Source organism: Homo sapiens, chromosome 2 (assembly GCF_000001405.40).
Source record: "Homo sapiens chromosome 2, GRCh38.p14 Primary Assembly".
Lineage (NCBI taxonomy): Eukaryota > Metazoa > Chordata > Mammalia > Primates > Hominidae > Homo > Homo sapiens.
In genome coordinates this window covers 47,288,606-47,308,485 of record NC_000002.12, presented here as the reverse complement: position 1 = coordinate 47,308,485, position 19,880 = coordinate 47,288,606, and the positions used below count along the sequence as shown (strand labels likewise).

At 42.5% G+C, this 19,880-nt stretch overlaps 1 long non-coding RNA gene across 2 annotated transcripts in view, besides 1 other annotated feature; it reads left to right on the top strand.

Moving 5' to 3' along the window:
* Window positions 1–19,880, top strand: part of EPCAM-DT (EPCAM divergent transcript) — a 152,670-nt gene that overhangs the window by 36,589 nt on the left and 96,201 nt on the right. The gene's annotated exons all lie outside the window — the stretch shown is intronic.
* Window positions 15,893–16,181: a silencer, noted in NCBI's record as "fragment chr2:47519444-47519732 (GRCh37/hg19 assembly coordinates)". NCBI's record gives its function as "represses an EF-1alpha promoter that drives an FKBP-Casp9 reporter gene in an ReSE screen in HepG2 liver carcinoma cells {active_cell/tissue: HepG2}" and the evidence as "EXISTENCE:reporter gene assay evidence [ECO:0000049][PMID:32094911]".

Sequence of the window (19,880 nt, the reverse complement as noted above, 5' to 3'; positions counted from 1 at the left end):
CATGAGTCAGGAGCTGGTGGAGGGGCTGGGATCCACAGGCCTCTGAAAAACACCTTGTACACGAAGGAAATATATCAAGCTGTTTTAAAAGATTATCTCAATTTCGTAATTATGGATTATTTTATTTTCTTCCTGTGCTTTTCAGGATTTTCTTAATCTTCTACAGTGAAAAATAACCAGAAGAAACTTTTTTTTTTTTTTTTTTTTAAGAAAAGAGCAGCACTTTTTGGAGTAAGAGGAAAGCAGTACTGAGTTCACAACTGCTACTAGAAGGAAGCTGGTCAGGGAGGGGACTCAGACAAGGTGCTGCAAGTCCCAGTCTTAATGTAAAGCAAATCTTAATGGAGAGAGGTTCTCTTTGTGGAGGCCAGGGAAGCTCCATCAAGCAGCCTGTGTAGGCAGTCCTGACTGTTGAATACTGATGTAGTGTGGAAATTAAGAGGATTCAGGAGTCATACAGAACTGGGTTCAAATTCTCACTGTACGGCCGGGCGTGGTGGCTCATGCCTGTAATCCAAGCACTTTGGGAGGTCCTGGTGGGCAGATCACTTGAGGTCAGGAGTTCAAAACCAGCCTGGCCAACATGGTAAAACACCGTCTCTACTAAAAATACAAAAATTAGCCGGGCATGGTGGTGCATGCCTGTAATCCCAGCTACTCGGGAGGCTGAGGCAGGAGAATTGTTGAACCCAGGAGGTAGAAGTTGCAGTGAGCTGAGATCGCATCACTGCACTCCAGGCTGGGTAACAGAGGGAGACTCTGTCTAAAAAAATAAAAAAATAAAAAATTCTCACTGTACAGTTGACGATTTGTGTGTCCTTGGCAGACCATCTACCATCTCCAAGCCTCAGCTTCCTCACTTGCCACAACATTGCAATATCTTTTAAGGTAGCAAATACTCAATAAATGCTAGCTATCCTTATCATGGAGATTTAGCCTTTCAAACATCCCAGGGATAGGAAATTGCAAAAAGATTCTGAGCCTCCACCATGGGTATTTCACTAGCCTTGTCAACCAAACAAAACCAGAAGGGAACAGGTTGCAGGCAGGCTTGCAGGGAGATGGAAGCCTCAGTTCCATGAGGTCACTCAGCTATACACAAGCTGTATTCCAATGTTGCACTTTTACATTCCATTCTGAATGTCAAATTCTCTGGGTAAAGTTTGTGGTCCAAAAGCTCTAATTAGGTGAAGGCAGAATAATGGTAAACATTTTCACAGTGTACTTATATCAACAACCTGCCTGGCATAGAGGAGAAGAAAACATGTGTCACCCTCTCTAAACATCCTCACTGGTGTTAATCAGGGGCTCTAGTTGGCTCAATGCCAGGCCTAATTGGGCAGAATTTCACTGCCCAGCTCTGGGACTAGCACAACATGTTGCTTTATTTTTCTTTCCTTTTTTTTTTTTTTTTTTTTTTTTTTGGAGACAGTCTCAATCTGTCACCCAAGCTGGAGTGCAGTGGTGCAATTATGGCTCACTGCAGTCTCAACCTTCCAGCTTAAGTGATCCTCCTGCCTCAGCCTCCCAAGTAACTGGGACTGCAGGAATGCATCCCTGCGCCCAGCTAATTTTTAAATTATTTTGTAGAGACAGAGTATTACTGTGTTGCCTAGGCTGATCTGAAACTCCTAGGCTCAAGAGATCTTCCTACCTCAGCCTCCCAAGGTATCGTGATTACAGGCGTGAGCCACCGTGCCTGGCCACAATGTGTTGTTTCATTGCTACTGGGCTCTACTGATGTTAATAATAAATTGCTTCAGAGCTTTCCACGTTTTTGCTTGTATCTTTGTTCTCGGTGTTTTATCTCTACTCAGAGACCAGACCATCCTTGTTACCCTTAGCTTGCTGTATTTACCTGTTCTTTCTCCCCTAGTGGCATTTTCCAGGCATGTTGAAGTAGTGGGTGGTGAGTAAGGAACCATTCGCAATTGGGCCCAGAAGTCCAACAGGAGGATGGTTTCTCTTGGGCTGCAGGTCGCTGTCCTAGGGCCACGAGCACAGGAGCCCTGATGGCATATGGAAGAACCGAATCAGCTCACAGAGGACCTGTTGACTCAGAAAAATCACATGCACATCACATACACTATCACAATGTCTTAACCCAGTGGCTCTCAACCCAGTGAGCAATTTTACACCCCAGGGGACATTTGGCAATGTCTGAAGACTTTTTTTTTGTTTTTTTTAACATAGGGTCTTGCTCTGTTGCCTAGGCTGGAGTGCAGTGGCACAATCACAGCTCTCTGCAGACTTGATCCCCCGCAGCTCAAGCCATCCTCCCACCTCAGCTTTCCAAGTAGCTGGGACTACAGGCAAGCGCCACGATGCCCAGCAAATTTTTAAATTTTGTTTTGTAAAGACAGGGTCTCACTTTCTTGCCCAGGCTGGTCTCAAACTCCTGGGCTCAAGTGATCCTCCCGTCTTGGCCTCCCAAAGTGTTGGGATTACAGACTTGAGCCACTGTGCCTGGCCTGAAGAAATTTTTTGTGTCATGATTTGGGGGCAGAGCACACAACTGGGGATGAGAGTACTATTGGCATTTAGTGAGTAGAAATCGGGTGGGCTGTTAACTATCCTACAATGCACAGATGGTTTCCCTGTTCCCCTCACCCCACACACAAAATAAATGATACGGGCTGGGTGTGGTGGCTCACACCTGCAATCCCAGCACTTTGGGAGGCCAAGGCAGGTGGATCACCTGAGGTCAGGAGTTCGAGACCAACCTGGCCATTATGGTGAAATCCGCCTCTACTAAAAATACAAAAATTAGCCAGGTGTGGTGGTGGGTGCCTGTAATCCCAGCTACTTGAGAGGCTGAGGCAGGAGAATGGCTTGAACCTAGAGGCAGAGGTTGCAGTGAGCTGAGATCGTGCCCCTGCACTCCAGCCTGAGCGACAGTGCAAGACTCTGTCTCAAAAAAAAAAAAAAAAAAAAAGATCCGGTTCAAAATGTTAATAGCAATGAGGTTGAGAAACTCTGGGTTAAGTTGACTCAGCAATCAATGCTCTCCATTCTGTGCCCCTAATCCACATATCCAACCATTGTTCCCCAACATGGGGAACAACGCACACTCAGGCAGGTCCTGTCCCTATTCCTAAACCTGTTCTTCTTAGTTCTTACCCTGTGCCTTTGTTCATGTGATTCCCTCTGCCTGGAATGTTCTCCTATGCACCCATCTGAACCATGCCTATTCTTCAAATTTCAAGCATCTCCTCTCCTGTGACACCCTAGTCACTCTAACCTCTCTGACCTTCCTCACTTGCAATTCCTGGTAGGTTGGCCTTGAGGGCAGGAACTGGACTTGGATATATTTGTATCCTCCACAGCATTTAAGGCTCCCAGTATATATTTGTCGAACAACTACACACCTTTGCCGTCCAAAATTTTTCCTCACTGTTCTATTGAACATTATTCCTGTATTTTAAGAAAAGCGGTTGAAAGGTAGAAGTCTTGATTGGCTGAGCTCAGGAATTCCTTTGACGGAATTGGATTTGATCTGCATGGCCCAGAGAGAGGAATTTTGTAAATTTCTAACTCTTTAAATGAAACAGCCACCAATCCTTCCTGTAAAAAATCTGTGATGACATCTACAAGTCAATAAATAATATAACACTGTTTGCCAAACTGCATGCCCAGAAGCGGAACAGCAAGGACCCAAGCCGACAAGCTTCTTAATTTCCCTAGTGTCAGAGCAACAGCTCTATCAGTCTGGAGGAGTCTGAAAAAGTGGCCCAGGCCACACCTTTATGACTTAGGATATTTGATATTTCTTTGATATTGTGTTGCACGGTTTGAGTTGAAAAATCTTTTTCTTGTGTGTGTAGTAGAGTGGGGTTGCACAGTAGGGGAGAAAACAAACTTTTAAAGAAAAAGCATAGGCCACCGTGTCAGATGTGTGAATGTGAGTATTGATCTCAGTTCTATTATATTCCAGCTATGAGACTTTAGGCAATTTCTTTACCTATCTGAGCCTCACTTTAGTTTCCCATCTGTAAAGTGGAGATATAGCACCTATCTTATTATGATCTAGTGTGGATTGATAATGCCAGTTGGCTGGCACAGAGGCTGCTACATGAGTAAGCTTACATAAATGATATTTTTCTCTCCTTTACTTTCCTTCCCTCCTCAGCCAACAATGGTATGGTCACAGCAACAATGTTATAATACTTTGTATTTTTGAAGAATTTTTATGTCCCTTTGCTTTCTTTAAAGTAGCCAAGGCAAGGATTTTTAATTTGTCAGATAAAATAATTCCAAGGTTAGAGCTGCAATAAAGTAATACAAATAATATAGTTATAATTTCTTACAGGTCCTCTCTGCAAACCTAGAAATGGGTTGGTTCCTGAAAGCTAGCATTCCTTCCCTAAAACCTTCTCTTTTTCTTTCTTTTTTGTTGTTGTTGTTTGTTTTTAATCTACAGATGGGTGGAAAGGAACATTATCTTCTTGTACATTTTTGCCTTATGCAATCTCATCCACTCACTGGTCCATAATGACCATCTATACATAGATGACTCACAAGGATGTTCAGAGCTTATCTTTGAGTTCTAACTGGCACGTCTAGCTGCCTGTTTATCATCAATGCACCCCAAGTTCAGCAAATAAAAATCTAATCCTGCAGCACTCCTGCTTAAAATGCTTTAATTCATCCCATTATTCTCAGGAAAAACATGAAACTAACAGAGCTGTGCTGTCCATCGTCTAGCCAGTACCTCTCTGGCATCACTTTACATCAGCCCCCTGTGGAGACCCACTTAGAACCTCCCAGTTAACATGAAGATTATTTTAAGCTGAAGACATTTGAGGCTCAACCAGTGTAGAAAGAAGCCTTCTCAGAGCTTCCCTTATCTGACTAAAAGCAGAAACTTTTGGGAAATGAGGCTGTCATAAATTCCTTCTTCAGGGCAGCTTTTACTCCCAGGAAGGAGATCAAGAATAAACCTACATAAATCCCCACTCTGGGGGAACTTTTTATGGCCACTGAAGAAAATGGAAAGAACACTCATATCTGCATGAACACGCATTATCACAAATTTTTTTTTATCTTTCATTTCTTCTTGCAGAAACCCATTTGTCTTTTCTAAAGAAACTCATTTGGTCTTGTGATAAAGACCTTTTCTCTCCCTTCCCTTTTCCCTCCTAAGTTAGGAATTTAAGCCTCTAACTTAAATCATTTATTGTGCTACTTCTTTTGTAAGCTCCTGTATGCATACAAACAAATGTTTCTTCCTGTTGATCTGTCTTTTGCCAGTTTAATTCATGGATTCCTTGATACTAAACGTTAAGAGGATAGAGGAAGTTTTTCCTCCTGACACTGCCTTGATCTCTGTGCTCTTACTCTGGCTCTTTTTAGTTTTTGTTTGTTTGTTTTTTTTTTTTTTTTGAGATGGAGCCTTGCTTTGTCTCCAGGCTGGAGTGCTCTGGCGGGATCTCAACTCACTGCAATCTCTGCCTCCCGGGTTCAAGCGATTCTCCTGCCTCAGCCTCCCTAGTAGCTGGGACTACAGGCACGTGGCACCACACCCAGCTAATTTTTGTATTTTTATTTTTTATTTTTTTGAGATGGAGTTTCACACTTGTTGCCCAGGCTGGAGTCCAATGGTGTGATCTCGGCTCACTGCAACCTCCACCTCCCAGATTCAAGCGATTCTCCTGCCTCAGCCTCTGGAGTAGCTGGGATTACAGGCATGTGCCACCACGCTTGCCTAATTTTGTATTTTTAGTAGAGATGGGGTTTCCTCTATGTTGGTCAGGGTGGTCTCAAACTCCCAACCTCAGGTGATCCTCCTGCCTCGGCCTCCCAAAGTGCTAGGATTACAGGCATGAGCCACTGCGTCCAGCCAATTTTTGTATTTTTAGTAGAGATGGGGTTTCACCACGTTGGCTAGGATGGTCTCAGTCCCTTGACCTCGTCATCCAGCTGCCTCAGCCTCCCAAAGAGCTGGGATTACAGGCGTGAGCCACTGCGCTTGGCCATGGTTCCTTTTAGTTTCATGATTCCTCCTGCCAGACCTCTGCCCATAACCTTTCCCTTGCCAAGAATGCTTTTCCTTTCCCCTGGCATTTATATAACTACTCCTTATCCTTCAAACTAGTTCAAACGGCAGCTCCCCAAGGAAGCCTTCTCTGACCTCCCAGTTAGAGACTCTTCGGGCATCCTATACTTTTCCTTTATAGCACTTCTTACACTAGCAATAAAAAATGTGTATGATTACTTGATTAATGTCTTTTACCCTGATAGACTGAAAGTTTCTTGATGGTAAGGGTCCTGCGTATTTTTGCTCACCATTTTATTCTAAGTTCCTAACACAAAGTAGGCACTCAAGAAAAGAACTACTGAATGAACGCATGTTTAGAAGACAGAGGAGAAACTCCACATATGATAGACTAGAACTACGCCCTCCAGGATACCCCTTTCAAGCCAAGGATGTGTGGACCCCTACATCACGGTTCTTTGAAGTCCAGTCACATACCTGGGGCAAAGCAATCTCAAAATAGCCAGTGCTAGTGTGGGAAAAGCTGTTACTCTATCGGGGCAACTGTCCTGGCCAGAGATTAAGTGACAGTTTACTTGAGAAAGGTTGACCCAGAAAACCGTCCTACAATATGCAACATGCATGAGAGAACCTGATCAAATCTAAAAATAGCTCCATCACTGGAACTGGAAAAACTTTAGTGAGGATTCAGCCTCTCTCCTTGCAACCTCTACCTCTATGGAGACTTTGATCTTTTTCACTGAACTACAGAATCCCAGAATGGTAGTGCTGGGAAGCGATCTAGTCTATTGCTCTCATTTTAATTTAATTTTTAATTTGAAGAATTTTCTATAGAGTCAAGATCTTGTTATGTTGCCCAGGCTGGTCTTAAACTCCTGGCCTCAAGTGATCCTCCTGCCTTGGCCTCCCAAAGTACTGGGACTATAAGCATAAGCCACTGTGTCCAGCCTGCTCTTATTTTAAAATGAGAAAATTAGCTTCAGGGAGGTTTAACTATTTCCCCTGTACCACCCAGGCAGTCAGTTGCAGAAACAGCTCAGACAGGGGCTTTCTAGCTTCACCGCAGTAATGCTTGGGTTTGCGATCTGGAAGACCAAAATAGACACACTTTTATCAACTAAGACAGGTTCTAAGGTTAAGGAAACAAAGTTACCTACGGGTCTATCTACTGGTGGAGGGTTCAGGACCCAGCTAGCATGGCAAATTGCTAAATTCCTGAGGCTCTAAACTCCCTAACAATAAGAGATATCAGCCCTCTCCTAACTCAGATTTACAATCCAAACCACTACAGCCCTGACTGCACAGCAGACCAGCCTTACAAAGATTCTTTCCTGAATAAGCTACTTCAGACCTTAAGCCTTAAGCCAGTTTCAGCCAGCTTACAGAAGCTGCACACAAACTGTCTTTGTGTGCTTTAGTTCACCTTTTCACATAAAGCACCAAATTCCATCTGATTTTTATGCCAAAACCCTGCCCAAAGTGAACATGGAATATATGTTACCTATATGCTTATCCATCATCCATGCGCTAGGCTCCCTTCATAATTATGTATAGCTTTTCCCCAAAACCTGATGAATATGTATGACTCTGTTGTGTGATACACGCCCTGTGAAGCAAGAAACCCAAGCTTCCTTCCTCACTTCAAAGAGACAGGACCTTCTGTCCACACTGGAGACTTCCTCTTTCTGGGTTGCAAACCAGTATCACCAATAAAGCTCTCCTTTCCACTATTTAGCCATCCTGGTGGTCTTTTGGATGACAGGTTTGACACCACCTAGCTTTTAGGCATCTTGGATGCTAAAGACCCTGCAAGATTTATGTTCTTGTGGGTCACCCAAAAGGGAGGCAGGTGAGCGGGGGCTTATTTCCTACTTCTCTGGTTCATTGTCACAGTGAGCAAAAGTCTCAGCAAGGGAACCCATGCAAACCACTCAAGTTCTGGGTGAAGGATCAAGGGAACCCAGGCAAACCACTCAAGTTCTGGGTGAAGGATACCTGGAACAGAGACTGGAATATGGCAAGATAAAGGATAGGAACTTGGGTTCCAAGGGCTGATCTTAGCTCTACCACCAGATAGCCTGGGTTATCACTTGGGAAACACACTGTCCCTCTAAAATTTGTTATATGGGTTAATAATACTGACTTCAGGCTATTGCGAGACTCAAGATAATGTACTAAAGACCTTTAGCACAATGTCTGACATCTGGTGTTCAATAAGTGGTGATATTGCTCAATTTCATTCCAATTCAAACTTATAAACATCCATGGGAAGTCTGCTTTATAGACAAGCAATAGGGGAGCACAGTAATTATTTGGGAGGGGAAATCTCAGCAGTTCTTCCAAGTGACACATTCTTTCTTTAGATATGTTAATACCTTATTTAAAAAAATTTTTTTTTTGAGACAGGGTATTGCTCTGTCACCCAGGCTGGAGTGCAGTGGTGTGATCTTGGCTCACCGCAACCTCTGCCTCCCTGGTTCAAACGATTCTTGTGCCTCAGCCTTCCCAAATAGCTGGGATTACAGATGTGCACCACTATGTCCGGCAGATTTTTATATTTTTAGTAGAGACGGGGTTTTGCCATGTTGGCCAGGCTGATCTGGAACTCCTGGCCTCAAGTAATCTGCCCACGTCAGCCTCCGAAAGTGTTGGGATTACAGGCATGAGCCACCAAACCACTGAGCCCGGCCCTAGGTATGTTAATACTTTAAATCAGGTTGCAGTCAAGTCCTGCTGGCCAGCTGAGGCTCTTGCAATGACTTTGCATATCTGTGCTCAATCCATTAGTCATAGGATTTACACTTCAACATCTACAGCAATCTTTTTTTTTTTTTTTTTTTTTTTTTTGTCCTGAGAGAGAATCTTGCTCTGTCGCCCAGGCTGAAGTTCAGTGGTGAGATCTCGGCTCACTGCAACCTCCGGCTCCCGGGTTCAAGCAATTCTCCTGCCTCAGCCTCCTGAGTAGCTGGGATTACAGGTGTGCGCCACCACACCTGGCTAATTTTTTTTTTTTTTTGAGATGAAGTCTTGCTCTGTCGCCCAGGCTATAGTGCAATGGCGCGATCTCAGCTCACTGCAACCTCCACCTCCTGGGTTCAAAGTGATTCTCCTGCCTCAGCCTCCTGAGAAGCTGGGACTACAGGTGCGTGCCACCACGTCCGGCTAATTTTTGGTATTTTTAGTAGAGATGGGGTTTCACCACATTAGCCAGGATGGTCTCCATCTCCTGACCTCATGATCCACTCACCTTGGCGTCCCAAAGTGCTGGGACTACAGGCGTGAGCCACCGCACCCAGCTAGAGCACTCATCATTATCAAGAACTTTGGAGGCCCTGAGATTCGAGACAATTGAAGGGATCCAGAATAAGCCATTGTGCCATAAAAATTTTTGTGAGCTGAAAGCATTTGGGGTCCTGAAGTCCCTTATCTTCCTAAAAGCAGAGGCTCCCAAAAGAACTCAAAAGAACTCAGTTATCATAAATCCCCTCCCTGGGAACAACTCTAATCTTGAGAGAGAATTTGGCCAGCACACCCAAAGAGACATTATCAGAAAACTGTCATATCTCCCATCTGTTCTCCTAAGGGCCCATTTATCTTTCCTGAAAGTCATTTGTTTTTCCAGAAGTGCTCTTTTTCCTTCCCTCGTCTAAGAAGTCATTTATTTTCCTGGTAAGTACTCTTTTCCCACTCTGCGTCACCTATTAGGTGGTATAAAGCCCTAAAGTCTATCCACCTCTTTGAGTTGCATTTCTTTGTAAATGCCTGTACATGATTAAAATTCATCTTTTCTCTTGTGAATCTGTTTTTTGTCAGTTTAATTTTAGACCCCCAATTACAAAACCTAAGAGCAGAGGAAAAAATTTTCTTCCCCACAAGGTCAACCTCTTATTCATAAACTAAAAACACAAAATACATAAAATAAATATAAGAAAATGTAAGTTTCTCAAGGTGTTACTGGAAAGGGGTCCCGAGCCAGACCCCAAGAGAGGATTCTTGGATTTTGTGCAAGAAAGAATTCAAGGCAAATCCATAAAGTGAAAGCAAGGTTCTTAGAGAAATAAAGAAACGAAAGAATGACTGTTGCATAGGCAGAGCAGTCCCAAGGGCTGCTGGTTGGCTATTTTTATGGTTATTTCTTGATCACATGCTAAACAAAGTGTGGAGTATTCATGAATTTTCCAAGAAAGAGGTGGGCAATTCCTGGAACTGAGGGCTCCTCCTGCTTTTAGACCATATATAGTAACTCCCTGATGTTGCCATGGCATTTGTAAACTGTCGTGGTGCTGGTGGCAGTGTCTTTTAGCATGCTAATGCATTATAATTAGTGTATAATGAGCAGTGAGTGTATAATGAGGAAAGGTCACTTTTGTCGCCATCTTGGTTTTGGTGGGATGTGGCCGACTTCTTTACCACAACCTGTTTTATCAGCTAGGATTGCCTAACTTACTGGGAATGCAGCCGAAAAGGTCTTACCCTTATTTTACCCAGCCCCTACTTAAGATGGAGTCACTCTGGTTCAAACGCCTCTGACAATTATGACTATTTTGGTGTTTTGGTTTTTTTTTCTATCAAACTTCAAACTTTTTCAAAAGCCATTTTCTGGTGCCCTGGCTTTACTGGTGCCTAAACATGTCTGTCTATTGTGCAATCCAGCCTTGGGCATTGTTAGTCCTAATTTTGCAAACCTGGAAATAAAAGGTAGGCGTTCAGGGTACACAGTTGGTAGAGTGGAGTAAAGATAAAGCCGAGGTTTATTTGACTCCTACTATACATCTGTAGTGAATCCTTTAGCTATTCCAGTTCCTTGTGATCAAGGGGCCAAGGTAAATATTTTTGGGCATGAATTTGGGGAACATGCATCTTCAAACACCTCTGAACTGTAGGAGTGAAAAGGCGTGATACCATTTCTGTCCCATCGTAAAGGTCATAATCAGACCTTCAATAACAAAAGACGTGTGAAAAAGAGAAAACATAACACATTTATTTAATCAAAGTTTTGAGAGCACCTTTTCTGAATTACTGTGCCCTAATGAATGTCTAGTGATAAACCTTGTCATAGAAATATATGAATCCACGTGAAAAGTACAAGCTGTGCAAAGCAAGAGATGTGCGAAGGACATGAAAAGATTTCTTGTGGGGTTTTCAGAAAGTCCTTGGAAATAGTTCTTATCTCAGACATGGAAGCGTAAGCCCCCACTTCTTCATGCCTTCCTGGCCTTATTTTGTCTGAGTCTGACAAAAGTGATTTCATCCTGGTATCTGCAACTTTCACAGTCAGAAAGAAGCTTTGCTTCTGAGGCCCTTTCAATGCCCTTCAGTTCAAAGTATTCAGCATACCACACCACCATACTTTGGGGTATCACTTTGTGAGCCCCAACAGTAGAATAAGCTTTTAGAAATGGAATTTTTAACTCAAAGCCTATGAACGCTCTTTTTTTTTCCCCCAGAGACAAGGCCTTTCGCCATCTCCCAGGCTAAAGTATAGTGGCTTCATCATGGCTCACTGCAGCCTCAAACTTGGACTCAGCTTCCTGAGCAGCTGGGACTACAGGCATGTGTCATTACACGAAGCTAATTTTATTATTTTTACTTTTTTTTTTTTTTTTTTTTTGAGACAGAGTCTTGCTCTCTCGCCCAGGCTGGAGTGCGGTGGCACAATCTCGGCTCACTGCAACCTCCACCTCCCAGGTTCAAGCGATTCTCCTGCCTCAGCCTCCTGAGTAGCTGAGATTACAGGTGTGCACCACCACACTTGGCTAATTTTTGTATTTTTCGTAGAGATAGGGTTTCACCATGTTGCCCAGACCAGGTTGGTCTTGAACTCCTGGCTTCACATGATCCACCTGCCTTAGCCTCCCAAAGTGTCAGGATTATAGGTGTGAGCCATCATGCCCTGGGTTATTTTTACTTTTATTTATTATGTGAGACCTTGCTATGTTTCCCAGGCTGGTCTCGAACTCCTAGGCTCAAGAGATTCTCTTGCCTCAGCCTCTCAAAGGGCTGGGATTACAGACATGAGCCGCCACACCACACCACTATGAAGAGTTTTGACATCTGAATGTTTCTAAATTGTCTGGTAATATTTTCTCATTTCTTAAGAACTCGAAAATCTTACTTCTTGTTTCTGCTTCTACTTTTTGTTTGTTTTTTGAAAATATGGTTCTGTAAATCATGCGTGTTTGCCTGCCAGAAACTGCTAGAACCTAGTTATTGTCTTTCAGAAGAGTCTGAAAGGCCTGGTCTGGGTGCCAGAGGTGTTGTCCAGAAAAAAAAGGCCTGGTAGACAATTGGAGTTTGACTGTCTTCCAGTTTAAAGGCTAGAAGCCTGGGAAAGGAGCTGGTCTTCCACTGTTTGTGCTGGAAAGTCTGTGAAAGCCTCAAAGGGTGATGGAGAGATCTGGGCTTGCAGGTTTCTACGGTTATTTCTTTGTTTAAGGAATTCTATGGGATGGAACCTTGAAACATCTTTGGAGTGGGTAGGGAGAAAGTAGTGACCCACAGCCTCTGTCCAGTTTTATACTCTCAGAGTCATATACCTGCAGATATTTATTTTTGTTTGGTTGGTTTTCTTTTGAGTTTTCCTGAAGGCACACTGAAGCTATGGTTCTTGTTTGTGCAGATGTAAATAAGAAAAGCCTTTGCCCTCCCCACAGAGGAAAAGTAACTGGCCGCTTAGGGGGATCTGCTTGCAACTGTAGCCCTGCATACTTGTGGTTGCCTTCTTTGTGGAGAAGCTTGGTTAATAGTGTAGGTGAGGCAAAACTTTTTCTCTATTCTTTTATGTTCTGTGCCTGAAGCCTATGGATTAAACTGACAAAAGAGAGATTAACAGGAGAAAAAAAGGCTTGCAAACTTACTGAATGTTTTTAATTTTATGTGCAAGAATTACACAGAAAACAAGTGAAAACCCAAACAAGTGGTTGGACCCAGGGCCTAAATGTTGTTTTAATAAAGGGCAATAAATTGTGGAGAAGTAACTACACAAAGGAAAAGGGGCTTGGGTTCCCAGTGGAAACAAATTTTGGGAAGGTAAATATATGGGGGAACTAATTGTAGAGAAGAATTTTTTAGTAAGGTTTGTTATGCAGACTCAAGTTGGGTGCAGACTGAAGTGAGAAGAGTCACGTCAGGTGATTAATAGTCTTCTCTTCCTGGTATGGGAGAGGGAGACACTTTTACAAACGGGAATTTATGTTACTTTTACAAAAGGGAACTCTATGCTCTGCTTTCAGAAGAAAGGGGGAGGGCAGAGAGTTTCTCCTGAGCCTGCTATTTCTTAATTGCCTTCAGCTGAAAATAATCCTAATGCCAAACTAGTATATTTTGGGGTGGCATATTCTGATCCCCTTCCACAGACTGTAGGAATCTGTCACTTTTACTCATTATAGGGATCTCAAGAGAAGGAAAGGAAATGCAATAGGTATCAAGATAATATATACATATACATAATATATACAAAAAAGTATTTTTTTTTTGAGACACGGTCTTGCTCTGTCCCCAGGCTGGAGTGCAGTGGTGCGATCTCGACTCACCGCAACCTCCACCTCCTGGGTTCAAGCAATTCTAATGCCTCAGCCTCCCAAGCAGCTGGGATTACAGGTGCCTACCACCACGCCCAACTAGTTTTTGTATTTTTAGTACAGACAGGGTTTCACCATTGTATTTGTTAGGGTTCTCTTAGAGGGACAGAATTAATAGAATATATATATATGTTATTAAATATTAACTTACACAATCACAAGGTCCCACAATAGGCTGTCTGCAAGCTGAGGAGCAAGGAGAACCAGTCCAAGTCCCAAAACTGAAGAGCTTGAAGTCCGATGTTCCAGGGCAGGAAGCATCCAGCATGGGAGAAAGACGGAGGCTACGAGGCTAAGCCTGTCTCCTCTCTTCACGTTCTTCTGCCTGCTTTATATTCTCTGGCTGCTGATTAGATGGCACCCACCCGGTTATGGGTGGGCCTGCCTTCCCCAGCCCACTGACTCAAATGGTAATCTCCTTTGGCAACGCCCTCACAGACACAGCCAGGATCAATACTGCAACCTTTAATCAAATCAAGGTAACACTCAATCCTGATCTAAAGTGATCCACCTGCCTTGGCCTCTCAAAGTGTTGGGATTCCAGGCGTGAGCCACCGTGCCTGGCCAGTACCAAGCTAATATTAATAATTAGCAGTCTGTTCTAAAAATGCACTCAGAATTTGTTTCAATCAGGTATGGTAAGACATGCAGACAGAGAAATGATTATCATGAAGAAAGAAGTTTGCCCTCACAGACGCCTAGAGACGGTTGGCATGCCACACAGAGAGACAAGGGGACACACCCACGCTGGTCAGGAGGCAGAAGCGGGGAGCATGGCCCAGAGGCTTTACTGGGGTTTTCACAGGAAGGAATGAGCCAGGCAGGGTAGGTACACTGAGAAAGTTTAGGACTGGATAGTTTGAATAATTTCAGGGGGCTCTGGGCAATAGGGGGTGTTCCTTAGTTGTTTGGTGCCTGGCTTTGGAGTGATTTAGGGTGGGGAGAATATTGGCCTGATGTGTGGGAGTTTGAAAAAGGAGATGATTGGGGTGTGGGCTCTGGGTTGATTGGTTTGTATATTAAACATTTGTATGTTAAACATTGGCAAGCCCTGGGAGGAGCAGTCTCTTTAGGATCAAAGCCTCAAATGCCAGAGCAATAAGAATACAAAAAATAAGAAAATATAATCAATACCCAGTCATAAAAATATGCTAAGGAAAATTTCCATGAAATTTTGTTTGTTTGTTTGTTTGTTTGTTTTTAAGACAGAGTCTCACTCTGTTGCCCAGGTTGGAGTGCAGTGGCACAATCTTGGCTCACTGCAACCTCTGCCTCCCAGGTTCAAGCGATTCTCCTGCCTCAGCCTCCCGAGTAGCTGGAACTACCGGCACGTACCACCACGCCCAGCTATTTTTTTGTATTTTTAGTAGAGACAGGGTTTCACCGCGTTAGCCAGGATGGTCTCGATCTCCTGACCTTGTGATCCGCCCGCCTTGGCCTCCCAAAGTGCTGGGATTACAGGAGTCAGCCACCACGCCCGGCGTATTACTTCACTTTCAACATCCATGGAAAATTTCTAATTGTCATCTCTCTGGCAAACTTTGAATATCAGCAGTGATTGTGCTGTTTTGTAATCAAAACTTGAGCATAATTTTCAAGATCCTCAAACCACTTTAAGATATTAGGGTAATATAATACAGTATTCCATTAGTTAATGAGACCTCTTTGGTTACACTGAATACCTTTTTAAAAACAAAAATTAACAGAGAGGTAGAAAAAATTACTGTGTCAGCAAGCATAGTTTTTACCTTTTTTTAAAAAAGTGCCAATAAAGAGGTAAATTAATCTTCCAGAGGTTCCTAAATAAATAAATAAAATTTAAAAAAGGTACATTCAGTAAAATATCTACTTTGTCTTGTAATATAAGATTAATTATCTTTTAAAGCTAAGATGGAAGATCTTAATATTGTCATATAACTTTATGCAGAATTATTTGTTTTTTAAAAATTTTTTTGTCTTTCCTGCACAGCAATATACGTAATTACGTGTTTAAATATATATACATATAAATATTGAAATGAATAAAGTATGTGTGATGCAGAAGAGAAGATGCCTGGTTCAAAATTGGTCTCGAAGTTTTTACTCTGTTTTTCACCAAAGGTAGTAAAAAGCTATTTACCTTTTGTGTAATCTGCCAAGATAGCAGAGATTTCTTATGTCAACTGAATATTTTTCTTGAGAACCTGTTAATTTTTAGTGCTTTTGAAACGATCAACAAATGTTCTTCAAATCTAAAAGAGCTATATTACATTGTTACGATGATGATGATGTTACTTTGTGCTATGTTTGTTTTTAAATATTGCATTGTTGGCTGGGTGTGGTGGCTTACACCTGCAATTCCAGCACTTGGGAGGTTGAGGCAAGCGGATCACTTGATGTCAGGAGTTTGAGATCAACCTGGCCAACATCGTGAAACACCATCTCTATTAAAACTTTTATTTTTTAATTTGCATTCTTATTCTTGTTAATCAGCTAGCCAAGCTAAACCGTTTCTTTTACTTTTTTTTTTTTTTTTTTTCTGAGACAGAGTCTGGCTCTGTCACCGTGGCTGAAGTGCAGTGGCGAGATCTCGGCTCAGTGCAACCTCTGCCTCCTGGGTTAAAGTGATCCTCTTGCCTCAGCCTCCCAAGTAGCTGGGATTACAAGCGTGCACCACCACACCTGACTAATTTTTGTATTTTTAGTAGAGATGGGGTTTCACCATATTGGTGAACAGGCTGGTCTCGAACTCCTGACCTCAAGTGATCTGCCCACCTCGGCCTCCCAAAGTGCTGGGATTACAGGAGTGAGCCACCATGCCCGGCCCCTTCTCTTTTTTTGAGAAAGGGTCTCACTCTTTCACACAGACTGGAGTGCAGTGGCACCAGCCTAGCTCACTGCAGCCTCAGACTCCTGGTCTCAAGCTATTCTCCTGCCTCGGCCTTCCAAAGTATTGGGATTACAGGTGAGAGCCACCACACCTGACCAATTTTTTTCTGTTTAAAATACTCTTGCCAACCAATAGCAATTGTAACACATAGTTTAGTAGGTGGATTAGAAGGACCTTGAGATTTGTCAGTACCTTCAAAGATCATGATATATTTTACCCCAGAATCATTGTGAAATAGTTATGTATTATAGCCCAATAGAGGATTCTATTCTGCTTCATTCTGGTATTGTTGGTTACTGTAATAAATTAACCAGAGTCATTTAATTTTGTCATTGGCAGATGATCTTTGCTCTCCCTTTCCTTTATCTAAAGACCCTTGCTGCAAGCTATAGGTCAGAAATGGAGTCGTTTGAAAGAAACATTAAAACAGCAAGTAAAAGATTCCACAAGGTACTCTTAGCCATTAACAGTAGAAATAGACTTATGGGAACAGACTTCCCAGTATGACTGATATTGCCGCAACAACTGATACCTGTTGGCTTGCACCAAGAGACTGAGTTGGGATTTCTAGGATTCTTTTAGCTCAGAAGCAGATGATTTTGTGAAAGTAGACCCCTTGCCTGAGATTACACAGAACAAAATTTAATTTTATAGTACCAGTGAACTAATTAAAAATTATAATTTTTTTTGTTTTGGAATATCTTTAGTATTGTTTTAATGTTGATTCTGTTTTAATTTTCTTCTTGGGCCGGGCATGGTGGCTTATGCCTGTAATCCCAATACTTTGGGAGGCCAAGGTGGGCGGATCATAAGGTCAGGAGATCGAGACCATCCTGGCTAACACAGTGAAATCCCATCTCTACTAAAAATACAAAAAATTAGCCGGGCGTGGTGGCACACGCCTGTAGTCCCAGCTACTCGGGAGGGTGAGGCAGAAGAATTGTTTGAACCCAGAAGGTGGAGTTTGCAGTGAGTCGAGATTGTGCCACTGCACTCCAGCCTGGGCAACAGAGGGAGACTTCGTCTCAAAAAAAAAAAAAAAAATTCTTCTTGATCTACCTTTAATTCTCAATTTAGCAGGATATACCTGTGCAAAGTGGAGTGAGACATTCTTTGAACCTTATTTTATTTCAATTGACCTGTAAGAATTCAGGAAATATATCCTTGGAGAAATTTTTTTTTTTTTTTTTTTTTTTTTTTGAGATGGAGTCTTGCCCTGTCGCCCAGGCTGGAATGCAGTGGTGCTATCTCGGCTCACTGCAACCTCCGCCTCCCAGGTTCAAGCAATTCTCCTGCCTCGGCCTCCCGAGTAGTTGGGATTACAGGCATGCGCCACCACACCAGCCTAATTTTTTGTATCTTTAGTAGAGACGGGGTTTCACCGTGTTAGCCAGGATGGTCTCAAACCCCTGACCTCGTGATCCATCCGCCTCGGCCTCCCAAAGTGCTGGGATTACAGGCAGGAGCCACCGCGCCTGGCCCTGGAGAAATATTAATATAAGTTATGAAGTAGTGAATTTGTCAGGGGAACTCAAGGATAATGATGACTCTTGTAATTGGAATTCAGAGAAATGCTTTTACAATGACTTAAGGTTAGAAAAATACATTGAGTTAAATTTTACTTATTCTAAGACCCATAGTATATAAAATACCACATTTTGGGAGGTAGTGTCATTGGTGGATTATGTGGTGATTTTACAGGATATATGAAAAATATTGATTAGCCTATCCATAAAAGTCCTAGGAGAATAGCCAGATATTGTTACAAATACTTGAGCAAAGCCCCTTTACTTTTAATGGTAATGTAACTATTTTCTTTTTTTTTTTCTTGAGATGGAATCTCGATCTGTCGTCCAGGCTGGAGTGCAGTGACACGATCTTGGCTCACTGCAACTCTGCCTCCCAGGTTCAAGCAATTCTCCTGCCTCAGCCTCCCCAGTAGCTGGGATTATAGGCACATGTCACCACGTCCAGCTAATTTTTGTATTTTTAGTAGAAACGGGGTTTCACCATGTTGGCCAGGCTGGTCTCGAACTCCTGACCTCGTGGTCCGCCCACCTCGGCCTCCCAAAGTGTTGGGATTATAGGTGTGAGCCACCGTGTCCAGCCAATGTAACTATTTTCATAGAGTAAGTAAGAATCAGTGCTTCTGGCCAGGTGTGGTGGCTCACGCCTGTAATCCTAGCACTTTGGGAGGCCGAGGTGGGTGGATCACCTGAGGTCAGGAGTTTGAGACCAGCCTGGCCAACATGGTGAAACCCTGTCTCTACTAAAAATACAAAAATTAGCCAAGTGTGGTGGTGGGCACCTATAATCCCAGCTACTTGGGAGGCTGAGTCACGAGAATGGCTTGAACCTGGGAGGCTGAGGTTGCAGTGAGCCGAGATCGTGCCGCTGCACTCCAGCCTGGATGACAGAGCGAGACTCCATCTCAAAAAAAAAAAAAAAAAAGAATCAGTGCTTCCTTTAACAGGAAATAAATGGACAGATTGCTAGTACAACCAAGGCTATAGTGGGAGTGCCATTAATATTTGAGAACAAGTTTCACCTAATCAGGTATGACAAGTTCACATTAAGGAATAAAGATTGCAATTAATATCCACAATTAACACCTACAGTGTCTTCCCAGGAAACTGGTGTGGTGCCTGTTCCTTAGTTTACAGTTTCTCTCAGCCTTACAGGTTGTAAAGAAGCTACTTCCCTGCAGGCTACAAACATTGGCGAATTTTAGGAATCTTGAGGAAAAGAGACAATTATAGCTAAAAACAGTAGTGGAGAAGAACTTCTTGATGTTGGCTTCATGGCCTCAGAATAGGTTATTTAATTTTAAAAAAATCAATTAAGAAACCACTTTGGAATGATAAGGCTGTTGAAAATGCACTCCTAAATACCTTGCATAATCTCCAGACAGAAGTTAATCATCAGGCTGCAATAGTTGCTCAGCATCTTATGGCACTAGATTTGCTAACCAAAAGGAGGCTTATGTTAATTTATACCTCTTGCTACATCTGTATATATGAATCAGACTAAGTAGGTTAGAAATTACGTAATAAAAAGGGAACAGATTCAGAGAATACATGGGATGGCTCCCATGGAATCAGTATAATAATGTCTCCTCACATGTGGCACAGCACTCTGATTAATGGGTTCAAAAATACAGTTAGATAGGAGAGCTAAGTACTAGTATTCCATACTACAACAGGGAAATTCTAGTTAGCAATAATTTGTTGCGTATTTCCAAATAGCTATATGGGATTTGTAATGTTCCTAACACACAGAAAGATAAATGTTTGATACATATCCCAATTACCCTGATTTGATCATTATCCATTGTATACAGGTATCAAAATACCACATGTACCCCAAAATATGTATGACTATTATATGTTGATTTAAAATAAACTTAAACAATTTTAAAAGTCTATGGTTTTACAAA